Source organism: Homo sapiens, chromosome 2, assembly GCF_000001405.40.
Source record: "Homo sapiens chromosome 2, GRCh38.p14 Primary Assembly".
Lineage (NCBI taxonomy): Eukaryota > Metazoa > Chordata > Mammalia > Primates > Hominidae > Homo > Homo sapiens.
The window spans coordinates 133,637,456-133,656,553 of record NC_000002.12 but is presented as its reverse complement, the minus strand read 5'-3'; the positions used below and the strand labels follow the sequence as shown (position 1 = coordinate 133,656,553).

The 19,098-nt window shown below is 36.3% G+C and overlaps 1 protein-coding gene across 7 annotated transcripts in view, besides 1 other annotated feature; it reads left to right on the top strand.

Annotated features, from left to right (window-relative positions):
* The window catches only part of NCKAP5 (NCK associated protein 5), a 1,003,049-nt gene that overhangs the window by 18,283 nt on the left and 965,668 nt on the right, over positions 1 to 19,098 (top strand). For 5 of the 7 annotated variants that reach the window (XM_047444134.1, XM_005263660.5, XM_047444129.1 and 2 more), the window contains exon 1: positions 14,977 to 15,197. The exons of the other annotated variants lie outside the window; for them this stretch is intronic. The gene's annotated coding sequence lies outside the window, so the exon portion shown is untranslated. Of the gene's footprint in view, positions 1 to 14,976; positions 15,198 to 19,098 lie in introns of those variants that run through there. 7 annotated transcript variants of the gene reach the window in all.
* Positions 12,117 to 12,624: an enhancer, noted in NCBI's record as "NANOG hESC enhancer chr2:134401501-134402008 (GRCh37/hg19 assembly coordinates)". NCBI's record gives its function as "activates a minimal SCP1, AML or CMV promoter by ChIP-STARR-seq in primed H9 embryonic stem cells {active_cell/tissue: H9 hESC(primed)}" and the evidence as "EXISTENCE:reporter gene assay evidence [ECO:0000049][PMID:30033119]".

The following is a 19,098-nucleotide window of genomic DNA, read 5'->3' as shown; positions in this document are numbered from 1 at the left end:
ATCTTTATTCTTCCCCCATGACCACTTTAGGCTTCTTTCTTCTCACTTAGAAGTCACTCTCCAGCCCCCATGAACTAGGAAAGTGTCTCCTGTCCCATTATTCAGATCTGGTACATGAGTTGTTATAACAGGATTCCGTTAATACTTACGGAGCACTTAGCGAGTGTCAGGCATTGTTGTAACAGCAAATCATAATAATAGCTACTGTGTTAGTGTTTACCATTACCATGTTGTGTTTTTTGCCTAATTTTCTCCTCAAAAGATGGTTTTTTTTTTTTTTTGTTTGTTTGTTTGTTTTTCCACGAGGCATTTTAGGCTCTGAGAGGTTGAATAACTTGCCCAAGGTCAAATAGCTTGGTGGTAGAGTCAGGAGCTGAACTCAGGTCTGTTTAACTATAGAATCTATAGCAGCATTTCATCCATTAACTTTTAATGTGCTCTCTTTTTCTTCTTTTAAGGTGTATGTTGTGTGTTTGAACAGGGAGAGGGAGATAACATTAAAACATTTGAAAATCCGTAAGAAGAAATGTCTAACAGCAAATCTGACAGAGTGGAGGAAAGCTAGCAATTGAAGGATCCCCTGGGAATGACATAATCTCAGAGCCTAGATTATTACTTTTGGCTGCTGAACTCTGTCTGCTATGGTACCATCCCTCTGGCCTTGAGTGCACAGGCAGAGCCTCTACAAGCTCTTTTGGCTCGTGTACCTTCAGACCTCCATCTGCTCAGCTGCCCATTAGAACTATAATATGTGCCTCATAAATGAAATCTTTGAAATTCTGCTGCCAACATCTATTGCTACTAAGTTTCAGCAGCTGCTTTTAATTTTGGTGGTGCAATTCTCCCTGTTAGAACCACTGGTTGCATTGCCTATTATCTAAAATAAGACACTTAAGGTCCCTCCTAGTACCCTTTGAGGTCAGATTTCTCCCTGGTATCAGAAGGAAGGGCAAGGTAGGGTTCCATGACCTAAAAACCTGATTGATGGGATGCCCCATTAAAGCCAGCTCCTGAATCTATCGCAGACCTGTACTGGATCTCAGTGGGTGTCTAAGGTAAAGCTGATGGAGAGTGTTCAGTCATAGGGTGGAAAGTTCAGTCTCTCCTAAGTATGTACGAGGCTCTGTTCTCTCTTGACATCCTATATCACTCCTTGGTCCTAGTCTAGTGTTTCATTCTAACTTGAAACCACATCAAAAAAGAGAAACTAAACCAGAAACAAATTCTCAATATGGGCCTTAAGGCTTATATTGATTTAATATAATTTCATCTCTAGGAAAAATGTCTACCCTGGCCTTACTTGGTTGACTACATCAGCATGTGTGTAGTGTTTGTGTGGAGAGTGAGCAGACTAGGAGAAGTGAATAATTTCACAGCAGAGTGCAATCACTCAAAATATTGAGGAAGTTGCTGCATTTGGGAGACTATTTCTTCATAAAATTGCCATGATGTCACTAGCTATGGAAGTAAATAATTTCCTTTAATTTCCTCTTTCACAATGTAGGAGTTGAACCCAAGGAAAGAACCAAATGATTGAATGATGGTCAATGTTTGCCTATAATTGAAGCTCTCAGCCAACAGCAGCTTTGATTGAATTAGAGTGGTTAACTCAGTTGAATTGCCAAGCCTCCAGCTTCTGCTATCAGTCATGAGTTTTCCCCAAGACCCCAGTTAAAGGTTATGGCATCTCCAAGAGTATCCAAAAACAGCCGAGTTAGGAAGCTCTTCGATGTAAAGAAGATGGGAAATATGGCAGGTGGTTCCTTCACCAATTACACTTGTCAAACTATCCCTCATGTCTATTACCCATCATAGGAGCACTCAGTCACTCATTCAAAAACTATTAAGTACCAACCACGTGGCTGGTATTGTGCGAGGTGCTAGAATGGCTTTGCAAATATGCGATAGTCATTTTCCCCAAAAACTTACAATCCAGTGGACCATTAGGAAAAGATAAGACACGAGCCACATAGCCTAGAATCTACAGAAAGTTTCCTTTTCAGAGAGAGCCAAAGGATGGATGTGGAGCCTTTGGTGCAAAGCAGAAACTCGTTACCCCTGATCCAGAAATGGGAAGAGGTTGGGAATAGGAACTTCTATTTATGTCATCTTGATAATCCTTAGTCTACAGATTTGAGGGATTTATTTATTTATTTATTTATTTATTTATTTATTTGAGATAGAGTCTCGCTTTGTCAACCAGGCTGGAGTGCAGTGGTGCGATCTTGGCTCACTGCAATCTCAGCCTCCTGGGTTCAAGTGATTCTCCTGCCTCAGCCTCCCAAGTAGCTGGGATTATAGGTGCCCATCACACCCAGATAATTTTATATTTTTAGTAGAGATGGGGTTTCACCATATTGGCCAGGCTGGTCTCGAACTCCTGACCTTGTGATCCACCTGCCTCGGCCTCCCAAAGTGCTGAGATTACAGATGTGAGCCAGCGCGCCCAGCTGAGGAATTTATTGAACTTGCATATGATGTAGTAAAAATGATGTCGGATGCCAAAACCAGAGAACTTTGGGTCTAGTCACTCCCCCTAAAATACCTTACCCCACCAATATTTCACCTTCAACAAATTCTCAAAAATAATTCTGGGTCTTAATAGTTTGATTAGTAAAATTGTAATAATAACAATACTGTACTTCCCTGAAGGTGGATGGCTAGACTACCTGATCTTCTGAATTTTCTGTCATCTCTCAAGTCTATGATCTTTTGATTTCTGTTTTTCTCCGTAGACAAAAACAACAGAAAGGCTAATTTCCACAGAAGCATTTTATTTGCTGAATTAAACACAGGCGCTGCCCGTGGACATTTGGGCAGCAGCTTACAGAACTCTAGGATCTGGTCCTAGAGGTTGCTGAGTTCACTTGAATCAAGTCTTTAAAATGTTTTGTAGCTTTAGGAAAAAGATTATTTGCAGAAATTTCTGCCCTCTATTTAACCATCTGAATTTACTGATGAATTAAAGGTGATTTGTAATAGGGTCATCTTGAAAGGACATTTAAAATGGATTTGGTAAGATGAGATAGACTCATGTTTATTTTTGAAAACTCTGGTTTCTTTTATAAAAGGGGTGATGGGTTAACAAGTATCTACTGAGTGCCCACTAAGTTTACAGAAGGAAACTAGGCTTCTCTGTAGGGAAGAAAAGGAGTAGACATATTCTTTTTTCTTTTGAAGAACCTTCCCATTTATTTGAAATGAGGCATGCATCTGAGAACAATTATAGAGCAACTTGGCAATATGTTGTTTAATATGCTTTGAATTGAAGGCATATGCTCCAATTATTGGCAGAGTAAAGGAGAGAATAGAGAAGAGAAGATTAAGTGGAGTTTTGAGTGTTGAAGAAGCTGATAAAATGCTTTCTTAAGGCAGCCCCTAATATTCAAATTTACTTAAAAGCCTTCAAACTAGAGTTGGATGCACAAGTTGCAGGCAGATCCTCAGGACAGGTCATGGACTAATCCCTAAAACTGGGAACATTGGGTACATAAGAGCAAGAGAGAAGTGAGGAAATTTCTCCTGGAAAAGCCTGATGTGAATGTGGTACTTTTAAAACTCATTAATTTCGTGTTCATCTGCATCATTTCCCTATTATTGATTAGGAGACTGAGGTTCAGAAAGGTAAGGTAAAATTTGAGGTGGACTTGTCAATCGATCTACCGGGATAGAACAAAGTCAGTGTGAGTGCTGACAAATGACACAGAGAGAATTGAGTGTAGATCATCAGTTCATCTTCATGCAGTCAACTAAACTCAGTGATAAAATAATAATTGGCTGAGGTTGCTACCTATTCCAACTGTACTGGAAGCAACAGAGATTTAGACAGGCAATGGATTCCAAGGCTGAGAGACGACCTGTCTGTGCTTCTTATTCCCCCAGTAGTTTTTGTAAAGTTCTTTGGCCAGAGAGAAACTGCAGAACAGCTTGACAGCTATATAAAGCAAATGTGTAATGATGTTGGCAGTGTTCTGAAAGTAGCTACCAAGAATGCATACTACAGGGAGGAATGAAGAAACCATTTCTGGCTGAAACCCATTTTGAGTGGAAAAGCTTTTAATGGATGAATTCTCCGTCAATACGTTGCTGCTTTCCATTTAATTGTCATTGTCCACTGTTTTATTTGTAAGTCTTCCTGCATTTATGTACGTGACTACATTTGGAGGCAGTGGGAAATTGTTTATGAGAACTCTGTGTTCTTTCTTAAGGAATTAATAACTATCTAACTCAACACACTACACCCTCTTCCGTTGCCTTGGGACTATCACTTGCTATATTTAATAAGTAATACATATTTTTTCCCTATTAAATTTTGAGAACTTGATATTCCCGATTCTGTCTTTCCTGATTAGGAATTACATGAGTGAATCTCCATCTTTGTATTTTAGTATGTGACTATAAGAACCAAACTTTGTATACTTATCAGGTGCCTTCCACAACTTTTGTGAAAAGGTGAGTCACTAAGCCATTCCTGAGTAGTCTTGTGGACTTGTCAGATCAAGAGACTATTTCCTTCAGGCCATGCTCTCCCACTCAGATTTCTCATTCTCCTGATTTCTGAAAATGTCTCCAGTAGTTGCTCCTGCCTGTGGGCCATGAACTCCTAAGACGGGGAGGGAGGTGCACAGTTATTTTGAAGAGCATGTAAATTCACAGAAACCCCAACCATTGAAAGGATAATGTCCTCAAGGTTCATCTATGTTGTCACATATTGCAGGATTCCCTTTTATTCAGGCTGAATGATATTCCATTGAATGCGTATACATGTTTTCTTTATTCATACATCTGTCATTGGATATATAAGTTGCTTCTACATCTTGCCTAATAGTACTGTAATACACATGAGACTGCTAATATCTCTTTGAGATCCTGATTTCTTTTGGATAAATACAGAAAAGTGGGATTGCTGGGTCATATGGTAGTTCTATTTTTTGATTTTTGAGGAACTTCCATACTGTTTTCTATATTGGCTTTATTATGTCACATTTTCACCAACAGTGTGCAAAGGTTCTATTTCTCCACAGCCTCACTAACATTTTTTGATTTCTTTTTGCTGATTTTTTAAAATAATAGCCATCCTGAAAAGTATGAGGTGATATCTCATTGTGGTTTTGATTTGAATTCCTCTGATGATTAGTGATGTTGAACACTTTTTCATATACCTCATGGCCATGTGTATGTCTTCTTTGGAGAAATGTCTATCCAAGTCCTTAGCCCATATTTTAGTCAGGTTATTAGTTTTAGTTTGTTTTACTCTTGAATAGCAGGAGTCCCTCACATATCTTGGAGATTAACCCCTTTTCCAATATGTGATTTGCAAATATTTTCTTACATTATACAGGTTACCTTTCACTCTGTTGATTGTTTTGTTATGCAGAAGTCCAACTTGTCTATTTTTATTATTGTTGCCTGTATTTTTGGTATCATATGAAATCATTGTCAGGACCAATGCCATATTTCCTCTATGTTTTCATCTAGGAGTTTTACAGTTTCAGGTCTTACGTTTCAGTCTTCAATCCATTTTAAGTTGATGTTTGTGTGTAGGGTAAAATAAGGATTCAATTTCATTCTTTTGCCTGTGAATATCCAGTTTTCCCAACACCTTTTGTTGAGGAGATGGTCTTTCTAGATTGTGTATTCCTGGTACCTTTTTTTTGTTTGTTTGTTTATTTAAGACAGAGTCTTGCTCTCTCACCCAGGCTGGAGTGCAGTGGTGCAATCTCAGCGCACTGCAGTCTCCATTTCCTGGGTTCGAGTGATTCTCCTGCCTCAGCCTCCTGAGTAGCTGGGATTACAGGCGCCCACCACCACGTGTGGCTATTTTTCTTTTTTTTTTCTCGCTCCAGAGATGGGGTTTTGCCATGTTGGCCAGACTCGTCTCAAACTCCTGACCTTAGGCAATCCACCTGCCTCGGCCTCCCAAAGTGTTGGGATTACAGGCATGAGCCACCACACTCAGCCTCCTGGAACCTTTATTAAACAACAGTTGACCCCATATGTGTGGATTTATTTCTGGCTGTTCTGTTCTATTGATCTATATGTTTGTCTTTATGTCAGCATCATGTTGTTTTGGTTATCATAGCTTTGTAATATATTTTAAAATCTGGAAGTGTAATACTTATAGCTTAGTTCTTTCTCAATATTGACTTGGCTATTCATGGTCTTTTGATATTCTCTATGAGTATTTTGATTGTATTTTCTATTTTTGTAAAAAGTACCATTTGACTTTTTTTTAGTTATTAGATTGAATCTGTAGATCACTTTGAGTACCATAAACATTTAAACAATATTAAGTCTTCCAATCCATAAACATAGGATATCTTTTCATTTGTTTGTATCCTATTCAATTTCTTTCATTGATATTTTGTAATTTTATGTACAAAATTCTTTCACCTCCTTAGGTCTATTCCTAGGTATTTTATTCTTTTCGGTGCTATTGTAAATGAGATTGCTTTTCTAATTTCCTTTTCACACAGTTTGCTGTTAGTGTATTGAAACACAATTTATTTTTACATCGATTTTATATCTTATAACTTTACTAAATTCATTTATTAGTTTTAACAGTTTTATTTATTTATTTTTTTTGGTGGAGTCTTTAGGCTTTCCAATATATAAGATCATGTCATCTGCAAAAAGAGACCATTTTACTTCTTCCTTTCTAATTTAGATGCCTTTTGTTTCTTTTTCTTGCTTAATTACTCTGGCTAGTACTAAGTTAAATAGAAGCAGTGAGAATGGGAAATTTTGTCTTGCTCCTGCTTACCAGTGACTATGATGTTGGTCATGGGCTTTTCACACATGTTCTTTATTATGTTGAGGTGATTTCCCTCTATTTCCAGTCATTGAGAGGTTTTATCATTAAGAGGTGTTGAATTTTGCCAAATGCTTTTTCTATATCTATTGAAATAATTATATGATTTTAATCCTTTATTCTGTTAATGTGGTGTAGCACATTAATTGATTTTCGTATGTGGAACCAACCATCCTTTTATCCCAGAAATAAATCCCGCTTGGTTATGGCCTATGATCTTTTTAATGTGCTGTTGGATTTGGTTTGCTGGTATTTTGTTCAGGACTTTTGCATTTATATTTATTAAGGATAGTGGCCTGCAATTTTCTTTTTTTGTGTTGTCTTTCTCTGGCTTTGGTATCAGGGTAATGCTGGCCTCATAAAAATCAGTTTGGAAGTATTCTTTCCTCTTCAGTTTTTTGAAAGAGTTTGAGAAAGTTTGGAATTAATACTTTAAAGTTTGGTAGTATTCATCAGTTCAGTCATCTGGTCCTGAACTTTTCTTTGTTAGGAGATTGTGATTACTGATTCACTCTCCATACTAGATATAGGTCTGTTTAGACTTTCTATTTCTTCATAATTTCGTCTTGATAGGTTATATGTTTCTAGGAATTTATTAATGTTTTCTAAGTTATCCAGTTTGTTGGCATATAGTTGTTCATAGTCGTCTTTATGAGCCTTTTTATTTCTGTGGCATCAGTTGCAATGTCTCTTCTTTCATTTTTGATTTTATGTATTTGAGTCTTTCTCTTTTTCTTAGTGTATCTAAGGGTTTGTCAATTTTGTTGATCTTTTCAAAACATAACTGTTAGTTTTGTTGATTTTTTTACTGATTTTCTATTATTTATTTGTTTATTTTTGCTCTCATCTTTGTTACTTCCTTCCTTCTGCTAAAGTTGGACTTTTTTTTTTTTAATTCCCTTAGGTTTAAAAAGTTAGATGATTATTTGAGATTTTTCTTCTTTTTAAATACATTATAAACGTTTATTGCATTATTAGCTTCCCTTTTAGTATTGCTTTTGCTGCACAACATAAGTTTTGGCATGTTGTGTGTGTGTTTTCATTTGTCTTGAGGTATTTTCTAATTTTTGTTTTAATTTCTTTTTGAATAGTTGTTAAAGAGTGTGTTGTTTAATTTCTACATATTATGAATTTTTAATTTTTTCTTCTGTTGATTTGTAGTTTTATTCAGTTTTGGTCAGAAAAGATATTTGGTATGACTTCAGTCTATATAAATTAGTGAAGAAATGCTTTATGAGGGAACATGTCATTTATATTGGAGAAATATCCATATGCACTTGAGAAAAGTGTGTATTTTGCTTTTGTTTGGAATATTTGGTATATGTCTGTTAGATACATTTGATTTATAGCATTATTTAAGTCCTCTGATTCCTTACGGATCTTTTATATGGAAGTTTTGTTGATTATTGAAAATGCGGTGTCGAAGTTTCTTACTATTATTGTGTTGCTATTTCTCCCTTCAGTTTTGCCAGTTTTTTTTTAATATATCTAGCTAATCTGATGTGAGATAGAGAGATAATCTAATAGATAACAATCATAATAATAGATAACATGATTGTTATCTATTCCTGGTGGATTAGCCCTTTTATTATGAAATGTCCTTGCTTTTTATGACAGTTTTGGAGTTAAAGTCCATTTTGACTTATATAAATATAGTCACCTTTGTTGTCTTTTGGTTACCATTTGCATGGAATAACTTTTTCCATCATTTGACTTTCAGCCTATGTGTGACCTTAAATTTAAATCAATTTCTTATAGACAGCATTTAGTTGGATCTTATTTTGAAGTCTTTTCATACACTATATATCTTTTGATTGGGGTGTCTAATCCATTTGCATTTAACGTAATCATCGTTAGGGAAAAATTTGCTATTGCCATTTGTAAGTTGTTTTCTGTTAGCCCTGCCCTGCCCTGCCCTGCCCTTCCCGTCTCCTCCCGTTCTCTCCCTTTTTTCTTTTCTTTTTTTTCTTTTCTTTTTTCTTTTCTTTTCTTTCCTTCCTTCCTTCCTTCCTTCCTTCCTTCCTTCCTTTCTTTTTCTTTCCTTCTTTCTTCCTTCCTTCCTTCCTTTCTTTCCTCTCTCTCTCCCTCTCTCTCTCCCTTTCTTCCTTCCTTCCTTCTATCTTTCTGTCTCTCCTCTCTCTCTCTCTCCCTCTCTATATCTGTCTCCCTTTCTTCCTTCTTCCCTCCCTTCCTCCCTCCCTCCCTCCTTTCCTTTCCTTTCCTTTCCTTTCCTTTCCTTTCCTTTCCTTTCCTTTCCTTTCCTTTCCTTCCCTTGCCCTTTCTTTCTTTCGTTCTTTCTTTCTTTCTTTCTTCCTTTCTTTCTCTTCCTTCCTTCCTTCCTTCCTTCCTTCCTTCCTTCCTTCCTTTCTTTCTTCCTTCCTTCCTTTCTTTCCTTTCTTTCCTTTCTTTTTTCGGTCTTGCTCTGTTGCTCAGGCTGGAGTGCAGTGGCATGACCAAAGCTCATTGCAGCATCTAATTCCTGGGCTCAAGCAATCCTCCCACCTCAGCCTCTTAAGTAGCTGGGACTGCAGATATGCACAACCATGCCCAGCTGAATTTAAAACTTTTTGTAGAAGAGGGGTCTTGCTATGTTGCACAGGCTAGTCATGAGCTTCTGGCCTTAGCAATCCTCTTGCCTTGGCCTCCTCTGTTAGTCTTGTAGTTCTTTTATCTGTTTTTTTCTTCTCTTGCTATCTTCTTTTGTGTTTTGTTACAATTTTTTTTGTACTGATATATTTTGATTCCTTTATCTTTTCCCTTTTTATAACTTCCATAGGTATTTTTTTGCGGTTACCTTGGGACTAACATAAAATATATTATAGTTATAAAAGCCTACTTTAAGGTGATAATAACAAAGTTTAATTGCATACAAAAAGTCTGTACTTTGACTTCTCCCTCCCTACATACGTTATATTATGGTTGTCACAATGTATAACTATTCCAATTATGTATCTTTTATCATATTTTTGGCTATCATTATTTTAGCTATTGCCTTTCATGCTAGAATTAAAAGTGATTTACCCACCACCATTAAAGTAATATAATTTTCTGTACTTTCCTATTTACTTACCTTTACTCATGAGTTCCATACTTTCTTATGCTATCATGTTGCTGCTTAGGGTTTTTTTGTTTTAACCTGAAAAGCTCGCTTTAGCATTTCTTGTAAATCAGGTCTAATGAAAACAAACTCCCTCAGCTTTTGTTTATTGGGGAAAATCTTTATCTCTCCTTTATTTTTGAAGGAAAGTTTTGCTGGATATATTATTATTGGTTGGCTGGTGTTTTTTTTCTTTCAGTACTTTGAATATACCACCCCATTTCCTTCTTACTTGCAAAGTTTTTGTAGAAAAATCTTCTGATAGTCTCATAAAAGTTTCCCTTGTATGTGACAAGTCACTATTTTCTTGCTACCTTCAAAATTCTGTCTTTAACTTTTGACAATTTGATCTTATCATGGGTTTATTTTTATTGGTCTGTGGGAATAAGATAGTGGTTTTATTTTTAAATTGTTTACATTATCTGTTTTCAAAATTATTTCTTTGTGCTTTAATCCATTAATCTGTCTGTACCTTTTCTATTTCTTTGTATTTCTATCTTTTTGAATAAAAAGATTTGTTTACATATTATTTATAGATGCCTATATACCTATACACATACACATAGACACACACACATACATAGACACACATAGAGCAACATATATAATCAATCATTATTATTTAGATATAATTTCTTTTTCCCTCCCTACATCCATTCTGTCCTTCTTTCCTTCCTCCCTCCCTCCTTCCCTCTCTCTCTCTTTCTTCCTTTTTTCCATTTGATGCCTTAAGAACCAAAAGAGATATGGTAAAATGTATTCATTCTTTTCTTATTATGATTCTGTAAATTTATCCTTGCATTTCTAATATTTTATTTTATATACTTTTATGCTATGTTATCTAAAGCATAATATCCGTGATTATTATAGCTTGTAACTCTTATTACTACTAATGCAAATATTAAAAGCAACCAACAGTTTTTGAGCAGGTGCCACGTGTCAGGTCTTCATGTAGGTATTTTTGATGAATTTTATTATTTAATACTTACAACAACTCTATAAGATAGGCGTATTTATCACTTTCAGTGAGGATTCTGGTGACTTGCATACTTCATTAAGAAAACACAAATAAATGAAATGATTTTTTGTTTTAGATAATGCTTCTTGATTGTAGTACTGCTTCATTAATATTGATATTGTGACTCTTGCATCCTTTTTGTTTGTATATGCCTTGTACAACTGTACATCTATATTTTAATATTTAAATTTTGTATCACTTAGCATGGTGTTGGTATATAGTAGGTATGCTACAAAATGTTTGTGGAATGAACAGGTCTTTGGGAGTCACTTTTTAAAAATGTATATCCCTTTTATAAGCCATATAATTGAATTTTGTTTATAATCCAATGTGAGATGGTTGCCAGAGGAGTTTAACTTATTTACAATTATTTTGTTAATGACATGTTGATTTATTTCTGACATTTAGCATTTTGTATTCTTTTTAGCTTTCCTTTAATTTTCTTTTGCTTTTACTGTTACCATATGAACTGTGAGTTCTTTGATTAAATATACATACAAATTGGCTTGGAAAGTGTACATCTTGTTTTAATTCCACTTTTGATTGACATCTGCCTTGTCCTACAGCTGAGTGCATTCATACTGCTGGCAGGATAATTGGAGTTCCCTTTGCAGCTGCCACTCCTCAAGCTTTTATATTTATGTGCTAGCCTACAGTAAATTATGTTCATGGTCATAGATTTCTCATTTTTTTTGTGATCTCATTTGAAATAATTTATTCTTTTGAAAGTGAAACATATTTGTTACATTGTGCAGTGTTCTTTAGTTATTAGTCTTGTCCTAGTCATATAACAAATGTTAAACGATATAACATGTATTGATTATCTGTTATGTATACTGTGCTGAACTATGCAAGTTTGGAGGAGAAAAAAAATTGTAAATAGTACCTTGTCTGTGTTTTCAAGGAGCTTGTAGTGTAATTGGCAAGGGGACTAGATGTGCATCCATAAAAACTTAAATAACCCAAAAATTAAAATATAAAGGATATTACCTGGCACTGTTTATAAATAAATGTAATATGAGAAATATATGCAAAAAGTGCCATAAATTCAGAAGCCAGAAATATTGTCTAGAGCTGAAATGTTCTGAAGTATTTACAGAGGAAGAAGGAACCCATTCCAACGTGGGTGAACTGTCTGGACAAAGGTTTGGAGATGGGCATGTGTGTGGCATGTGGATGAGATGGCAGGCAAATGATTTCATGAAATCATTTCAGAGGTTTCATGGAATTGGAAATGATTATGGTAGCTAAGTCCCAAGATCTTGAGTCAGTAAGTTGGAGAACTTGAAGAACTGATGGTATAGTTCCACTCTGAGCCTGAAGGCAGGGGAAGACTGATGTCCCAGCTGAGAGACACTCAGGCTTTTCTCCTAATGTAACTTTTTGTTCTATTCAGACCTCCAATAGATTGGATGAGGCACACTTGTTAATGAGGGCAATCTGCTTTACCTAACCTGCCAATTCAAATGTTAATCTCTTCCAGGAACATCCTCACAGACATACCCAGAATAATGCATAACTAACTATCTGGGTGCCTCATGGCCCTGTCAACATGATATATAAAATTAACCATCACAGTACTCACAGAGCATACAGAGGGCACTTAGCCAAAATGTAGTGACAGGGGCATGTCAGAAAAGGCTTTCATGTGGAACTAATGCCGGAGTTGAGTCCTAAGAGACAAGTTGGAGTTGAAGAGGTAAAGGTTTCAGGCAGGGCGGGGGAATTGGGAAGAAGTGTTTTCTAGGTAGAGGAAGCCAAAGGTATAAATGCTTAGAGATGAGAGAGTACATGGCACTTTCAAGAATTGCACCTGTCTCACTGTGGTGGGCATATAGAATGTGAGCAGGAGAAATGAGTGAAAAGGATGGAGGTAGAAAGACTGGTTCAGGTCAGGAGGGTTTTGGGTACCACATGAAGGCACTTTGCTGAGGGAACTTGAAAATGATTTTGAATGTGATAGTGGAGTTAAATGGAAAATGGATTGTAGATAGGATGATTGGAGGTAGGGAGATTGGTCAGACTAATTTAGATTAAATATGACAAAGAGCTGAACCTGGGCATTGGCAATGGGGGTATATTTGAGAACAATTAAGGCATTAGAAGATATAGCCTGGATGTCAAACAGATGAAGGGGCTAGAAGGAGGGAAATCACAGATGATTCTTGGAATCCTGGCTTGGAGAAGTGGCTGAAATTAGCTTATTACAATAGGAAACAGGAGGAAGAGAAAGTTTGCTAGTCAGAGAAGAGTTGTGGGGTGGGCTGTGATAATTTCAGATATTCAATATAAATGTAGCTTAAAAGTTTTCCCTTTCTTCATGGCACTTTCCTACTGAGTTTAGAGTAAGGAAGACTTACATGTTGATATTTCTTTCAGATTTTCATGGCTGTATAACATTGGTAAAATTACTAGGTCAATAAAATATGTATAAATGTGCAGACTTGTTGATGAACAAACTGGCCCATTAATGGCCAGACAATTAACAATGATAAAGTTTGTTTCAGTAACAAAGGCTTCCAAAGACAGAGTGATTTGGATGCCTTTCAACAAAATAAATTCCTTTCTTCTCAGATGACATGTAAACTGATGTCATTTCTCATTCCATAAAGAAAAAAAAAAAGAAAGATGAAACTTGCTATGGTCTGCACTATTGCAATGATGGCATTCTTCCTCAAAGTAATCTAAAAAAAGATATTGTGAGCAAACTTCTATTTCCTCTGCCAGAAATGCATGCCTAGCCATAATGCAAGCCTTTCATATTTAGCTCTTTAGATAATGGTTTTTACATGAACTTTCATAACATTTATTTACTGCTATAAATGATTGAACCAACTGCTATTGGAAGCCAGGAATCTAGTTCATCTGCAGTTGGATTTCTCACTACATTATCTCAACTTTATAGAGGTTGCACTGAAGGTAGTGTTTCCTGTCAATATTACAAGGGGACAGTGTGAAATGCTATGAGCATGTTGGTTTTGAATGTTTACCGTTCAGCCTGCTTGCAAAACATGTTCGTCTCACTCTATGAAGACCATCCTTTAGTTATAAATATTTCAACTCCCTAGCCCCAGTTTTTTAGGGTGTATCAACCACATTTTCCTTCCCCTCCCATCTGGCTGACTGATTCATACTCTTCTGTGAATTGTTACAGCAGAAAAACAGGTAGAGACTGCCAAATTCTGAAGACAAGGCTTTCTATATGTTCATCTGGCTAAAATGGTAAAAATATGACTTGGGCTGATCTACTAATAAAGGTTAAACCAGGTGCTATGGTTTGGATGTTACTTGTCTCTGCAAAAACTCAGGTTGAAATTTGATCTCCAGTGTGCAGTATTGGGAGGTGGTGCCTACTGGGGGGTGTTTGTGTCATGGAGGTGATCCTGTATGAGTAGATTAATGCCATCCTGCAGGGGGTGAGTTTCAGCTCTTGTGGGAATAGATTCATTCGCTCAAGAGAAAGTTGTTTAAAAGAATCTGGCTTTCTCAGTTTCTCTCTCTTGCGTCCTCTCTTGCCACGTGATCTCTTTGCACACAGCTATTTCCTTTCCCTTTTCTGCCATGAATTGAAGCAGCAAGAGGCCCTCACTAGACACAGCTGCCCAATCTTGTACTATCCAGCCACTAAAATCATGAGCCAAATAAACCTCTTTTCTCAATAAACTACCCAGCCTAAGGTATCCTTCTATAGGAACATGAAATAAACTAAGACACCAGGGTAGATATATTGATCATTCAATGGAGAGAGGCACTTTGCTATAATAGGATAATAGATGTTCCAGTTACACAACAGAGCCAGTTGTGAGCCTGCCATGGAAGAGTTTGAACTCAAGGTGGCTCTGCTAAGCAGAGCTCTGACATGAAGTCTTGCCACTCCCTCTAGTTCCTACATGCTGAGGCACAGGGGTTCCCTTAAGTTGAACTGGTTAAACTGGATGAACCACAGCCTCCCAGAACAATCTCTCTGGGCCATGGCCTGAGGGTGGCTCCTGCCCTGGCAGGAAGCTGTGTCCACGTGCTTGCCTTCATCAGCTCCCACTCTGTGGTGCCAGACACAGCCAGGCAGGAACAGGACATGACTATGGACAGGATAGTTGGTGCCTGACTCTGGGCTGCTCCAGAAATCCTATTTCCAAAATCTTTTCAGCTCTTAGCTGGCTTCCTACAGTGAGCTAGGATTTCAGTCCAACATTTAGGAACTTCGCTTTTGGTGGCCAGAATATACAGAACCAGATGCTGCAGAGGAAGAAGCCATTAGATGGTGGAGAAAGGTAAAAGGAATATATCTCTTAAGATAAAATTGGAACTGTTTGTTTTCTCTCATAAAGAATCTTCTTATTGCCTGAAGGAAGAATAGAGAACTTCCATAAGACAGTGGAAGTAAAGAAAACAACTGAACCATTTTACTATGAGAAAGCAGAGAAATGTCTTATTGCTAACCTTTGCTGCTCTTACAGCTAAAAACAAATTTCTGACGTCCATATGAACAGAGATGCACATAATTATGGAAGATTCCCGAATGCCAGAGAACCTCCAAAGAGCTTCTATTTGACTTTACAGTTTAATTGTCACTTTATCTACCTATAGCTGTGCATATTTGCTGAATGGGGATAAAGAGAGAAATTGAGTACAATTCTTGTTTTTGAAAAGGCACAGGAAAAGGGGAGAGTTATTTGCATATGGGGTAAAAAGTGTTATGATAAAAGTATGTCATGGATTCTTAGGAAACAATCTGTCTTCACATCCCTAGTGCCTAATACAGTGCTTGACTTACAGCAGTTGTTCATATTTGTTGGAAGCTGTGCTTTGGTTTCAATAAAGGTGAATTTGAGCCATTTAAGCACAGTAATTCTTTAAGAGATTTTCATTTATTCTATTTATTCATTCATTCACAGGGCAAATATTTATCAAAAGATCTGATGAATGAAACCAGAAGTGTACACAATGAATATCAATATGACTTTACCCTACATTTTGACGTTTTTGCCTGGGTAGTCTAGAAAGTGTTTTATTTGTAAGTGAAGTGATACTGTGTATAGGGGTTGTTTAGTTTATTAGAAAATGAGCAAAGTGAATACATTATTTGTTGTACAGAAGTTTGCTTCGTTATTTAAAAGGAGACTGTTATAGTTCACCTCCCTAGTCCAGATGTCATTTTATTTAGGCATCTCAGTCCTCTAGAATGACTCCAGATCACTGTGGAGATTGTCTCCCTTCTTTTGAATCCCACTTGGGTAACCTTCAAAGGGTCCTATACCTCTCTAACCTAAGAGAAACCTTCCCTACTCATGTGAATTTCCTGTTTAACAAGATTGACTTGTGCTGACTCTGCTTTTTCATATCCATTCATTTAAAACACTTACTAGGACAAAAAGTGTATAGAATAATATAGTAAAGGCCCATGCACCACCATTTAGCTTAATACATAAAACATTACTAGTAAAATTGATGTTCCTGTGTATCCATCCCCAGTCACATCTCACTTCTTCAAATATCCAATGGTACAATCACTACCTTAAATTTGGATTTGATCATTATCATGTCCTTACATTATTTATAGTGGGACTAAATATATATGCATGGCTAATCATTATGTCACATTGTTTTCTATATTTTTAAACCTTATACAAGCAATATTATATAGTATGTATTCTTCTGTAACTTGGTATCTCAGTATTTTCATTCCTAATTGTGTTGGTGGGATTCGTCCATGATAATTGTGTCATATCTTATGACATTCCGCATTTATTTTTACACTCTCCTATTGATGGTCATTTAGTTTGTTTACAACTTTCTTGTCAAGGGGTTCAGGGCAGATATTAGCATTAGTTTGGTGCAAGCAGTGACTCATTGTTAGGAAAGTGTATATACCTGGATGGTCTGCACAGCCTTTCCAGAGGTACATTTGAGCTCAAGGGCTTTGAGATGCACTGATGGGCTGGTCTCCTACAAAAGGGTTTCATCAGGAAGATGTTCCCCTCCTGTTTCTCTCTCCTTTTATGAACCAAACAGAAGAGCCTGGTAGAATTTGGGGACAGTCAGACTGCTTTGGTATCAAACAGTCTGAAGGTAAAAGTGTGAGCTGTTTGCAGTTAATAAAATCATAAGCTGCCTAAAACCTGGAAGTTTGGAAAACTATGAAAAGTGCAGCCTCTTCTGCTGGGACAATACCCCTAATCCAGATAGTGTCATAGTAGGCAATTTAGAGATCCGTACTGATGATCATTATAAGCTACTTTTTTCTTGTTTCAGATAATGTTGCTATCGTCATGTCTTCTTGTCTACGTGAACAAGAGTTTTTAAGGGCCTATACCTAGAAATAGAGTTGCTGGATTGTAGATATTAAGCCTTATCAAATTTATTGGGGTTGCCATTTGTTCCTCAAATTACTGAATCAGTTTATACTCCCACCAGTAATACGTGGGACTTCCCATTGCTCTACATCCTTTCCAACAATTGATATTCTCTGAATTTATTAATTTTTGCCAACCTAGTAGATGGTATAAGATGGTACCTTACAGAGTGTTTTCATTATGATTGAGATTGATCATGCTGTGTCTTATATCTGTTGGTCATTAATGTTTCCTATTTTATGAATTGCTTTTTCCTTCCTTTTAATCTTATTTTTTCTGTTTAATTATCTTTTTCATTCTAATTTGCAGACCTCTTACATTCTTGCAACAATTACACATTGCAAGTACTTCTCCCACATTGTTACTGCTGTGCTTGTTTGTTACACTTTAAAAGATAAGTCTTTTTTTTTTTTTTTTGAGATAGAGTCTCACTCTGTCACCCAGGCTGGAGCGCAGTGGTGAAATCTCAGCTCAGTGCAACTTCTGCCCCTGGGTTCAAGCAATTCTCCTGCCTCAGCCTCCTGAGTAGCTGGGGTTACAGGTGCCTGCCACCACTCTTGGCTAATTTTTGTATTTTTTAGTAGAGATGGGGCCTCACCATGTTGGCCAAGCTGGTCTCGAACTCCTGACCTCATGATCCGCCCACCTCAGCCTCCTAAAGCGCTGGGATTATAGGCGTGAGCCACTGCCCCCAGCCAAGGAAACTTTTTCGGAGTCTTTTGATTGAGAGAAGTTTAACATTTGGACGTAGTGCCATCTATAAGTGTTAAGCCTAGTTTTTAAGAGTTTATGTATTCTTCATTACTATGTGTTTTGTTTTAATTCCCTTTCCCCTATTTTTTTAAACAAGACTCTATTATCTTACTACCTTTACATTTTTATATGCGTGCTTAATTTAATGACTATCTCTTCCCTGGTGAAAAATATCTTATAATCTCTTTATTGTTGCACAATATCTTAGTTCTATCTCATTTTTGTATTTCCCTAGTTTAGCACTGTCATATTGCTTTGTGCTGCAAATGCTTGATTAGATCTACCTGTCTATTTAAAAGTTTCTTTGCTTACCAATTTTTTCAGACTTTCTATTGTTATTCTTCCAGTGAAAATCTATTCATAATAAACTCTAAAATTTTTGTCAGAAAATATACCTCCTTGACTTCATTCTTGAGTGAGGATTCAGCTAGGTATGAAATTGTAAGTTATGTTTATTTTCTCATGGCTTTTGAGAGATCTGCTATCATCGGAATCTTAATTTCTTTGCAGGTATCATTCTAACCTATATATTTTTGAAGGTGCTTTCCTTTTGGCTGATTTTAAGGTTATACATTTGTCTTTGGTGACCTGTAATGTTGCTATGATATGTTTAGGTGAGGATGAGAAAAATTCAGAGAGGGGACATTTTTCTATTTCCTGAATCTAAAAATTTATGGTTTTCATCAAGGACATTTTTTGGTCAATATATTTTCAAATATTGTGCCTTCTAGAACTCTAATCGCATGTATGTTAAATTTTCTTTTATTTTCCTGTTCTGTTAAAACTTTTAACAATATTTTCATGTCATTGGTTCTATTTGCTACATTTTATGAACTTTTAAAAAGTTTTCTTCCAGTTTATTAATTCTCTCTTTCATAGTCTGTCCAATTTGCTTTTTAAAACATCCACTAAATTTTTAACTTTGATAACTCCATTTTCATTATATTTCAATGATTATATTTTAATTTCCATTAGTCCAATTTGTTTCTTTTTCAAGATTGCTTCTTTATATTTTCTTGGGTTTTTTTTTTTTTTTTTTTTTTTTGGAAAATACCAATATATGAAG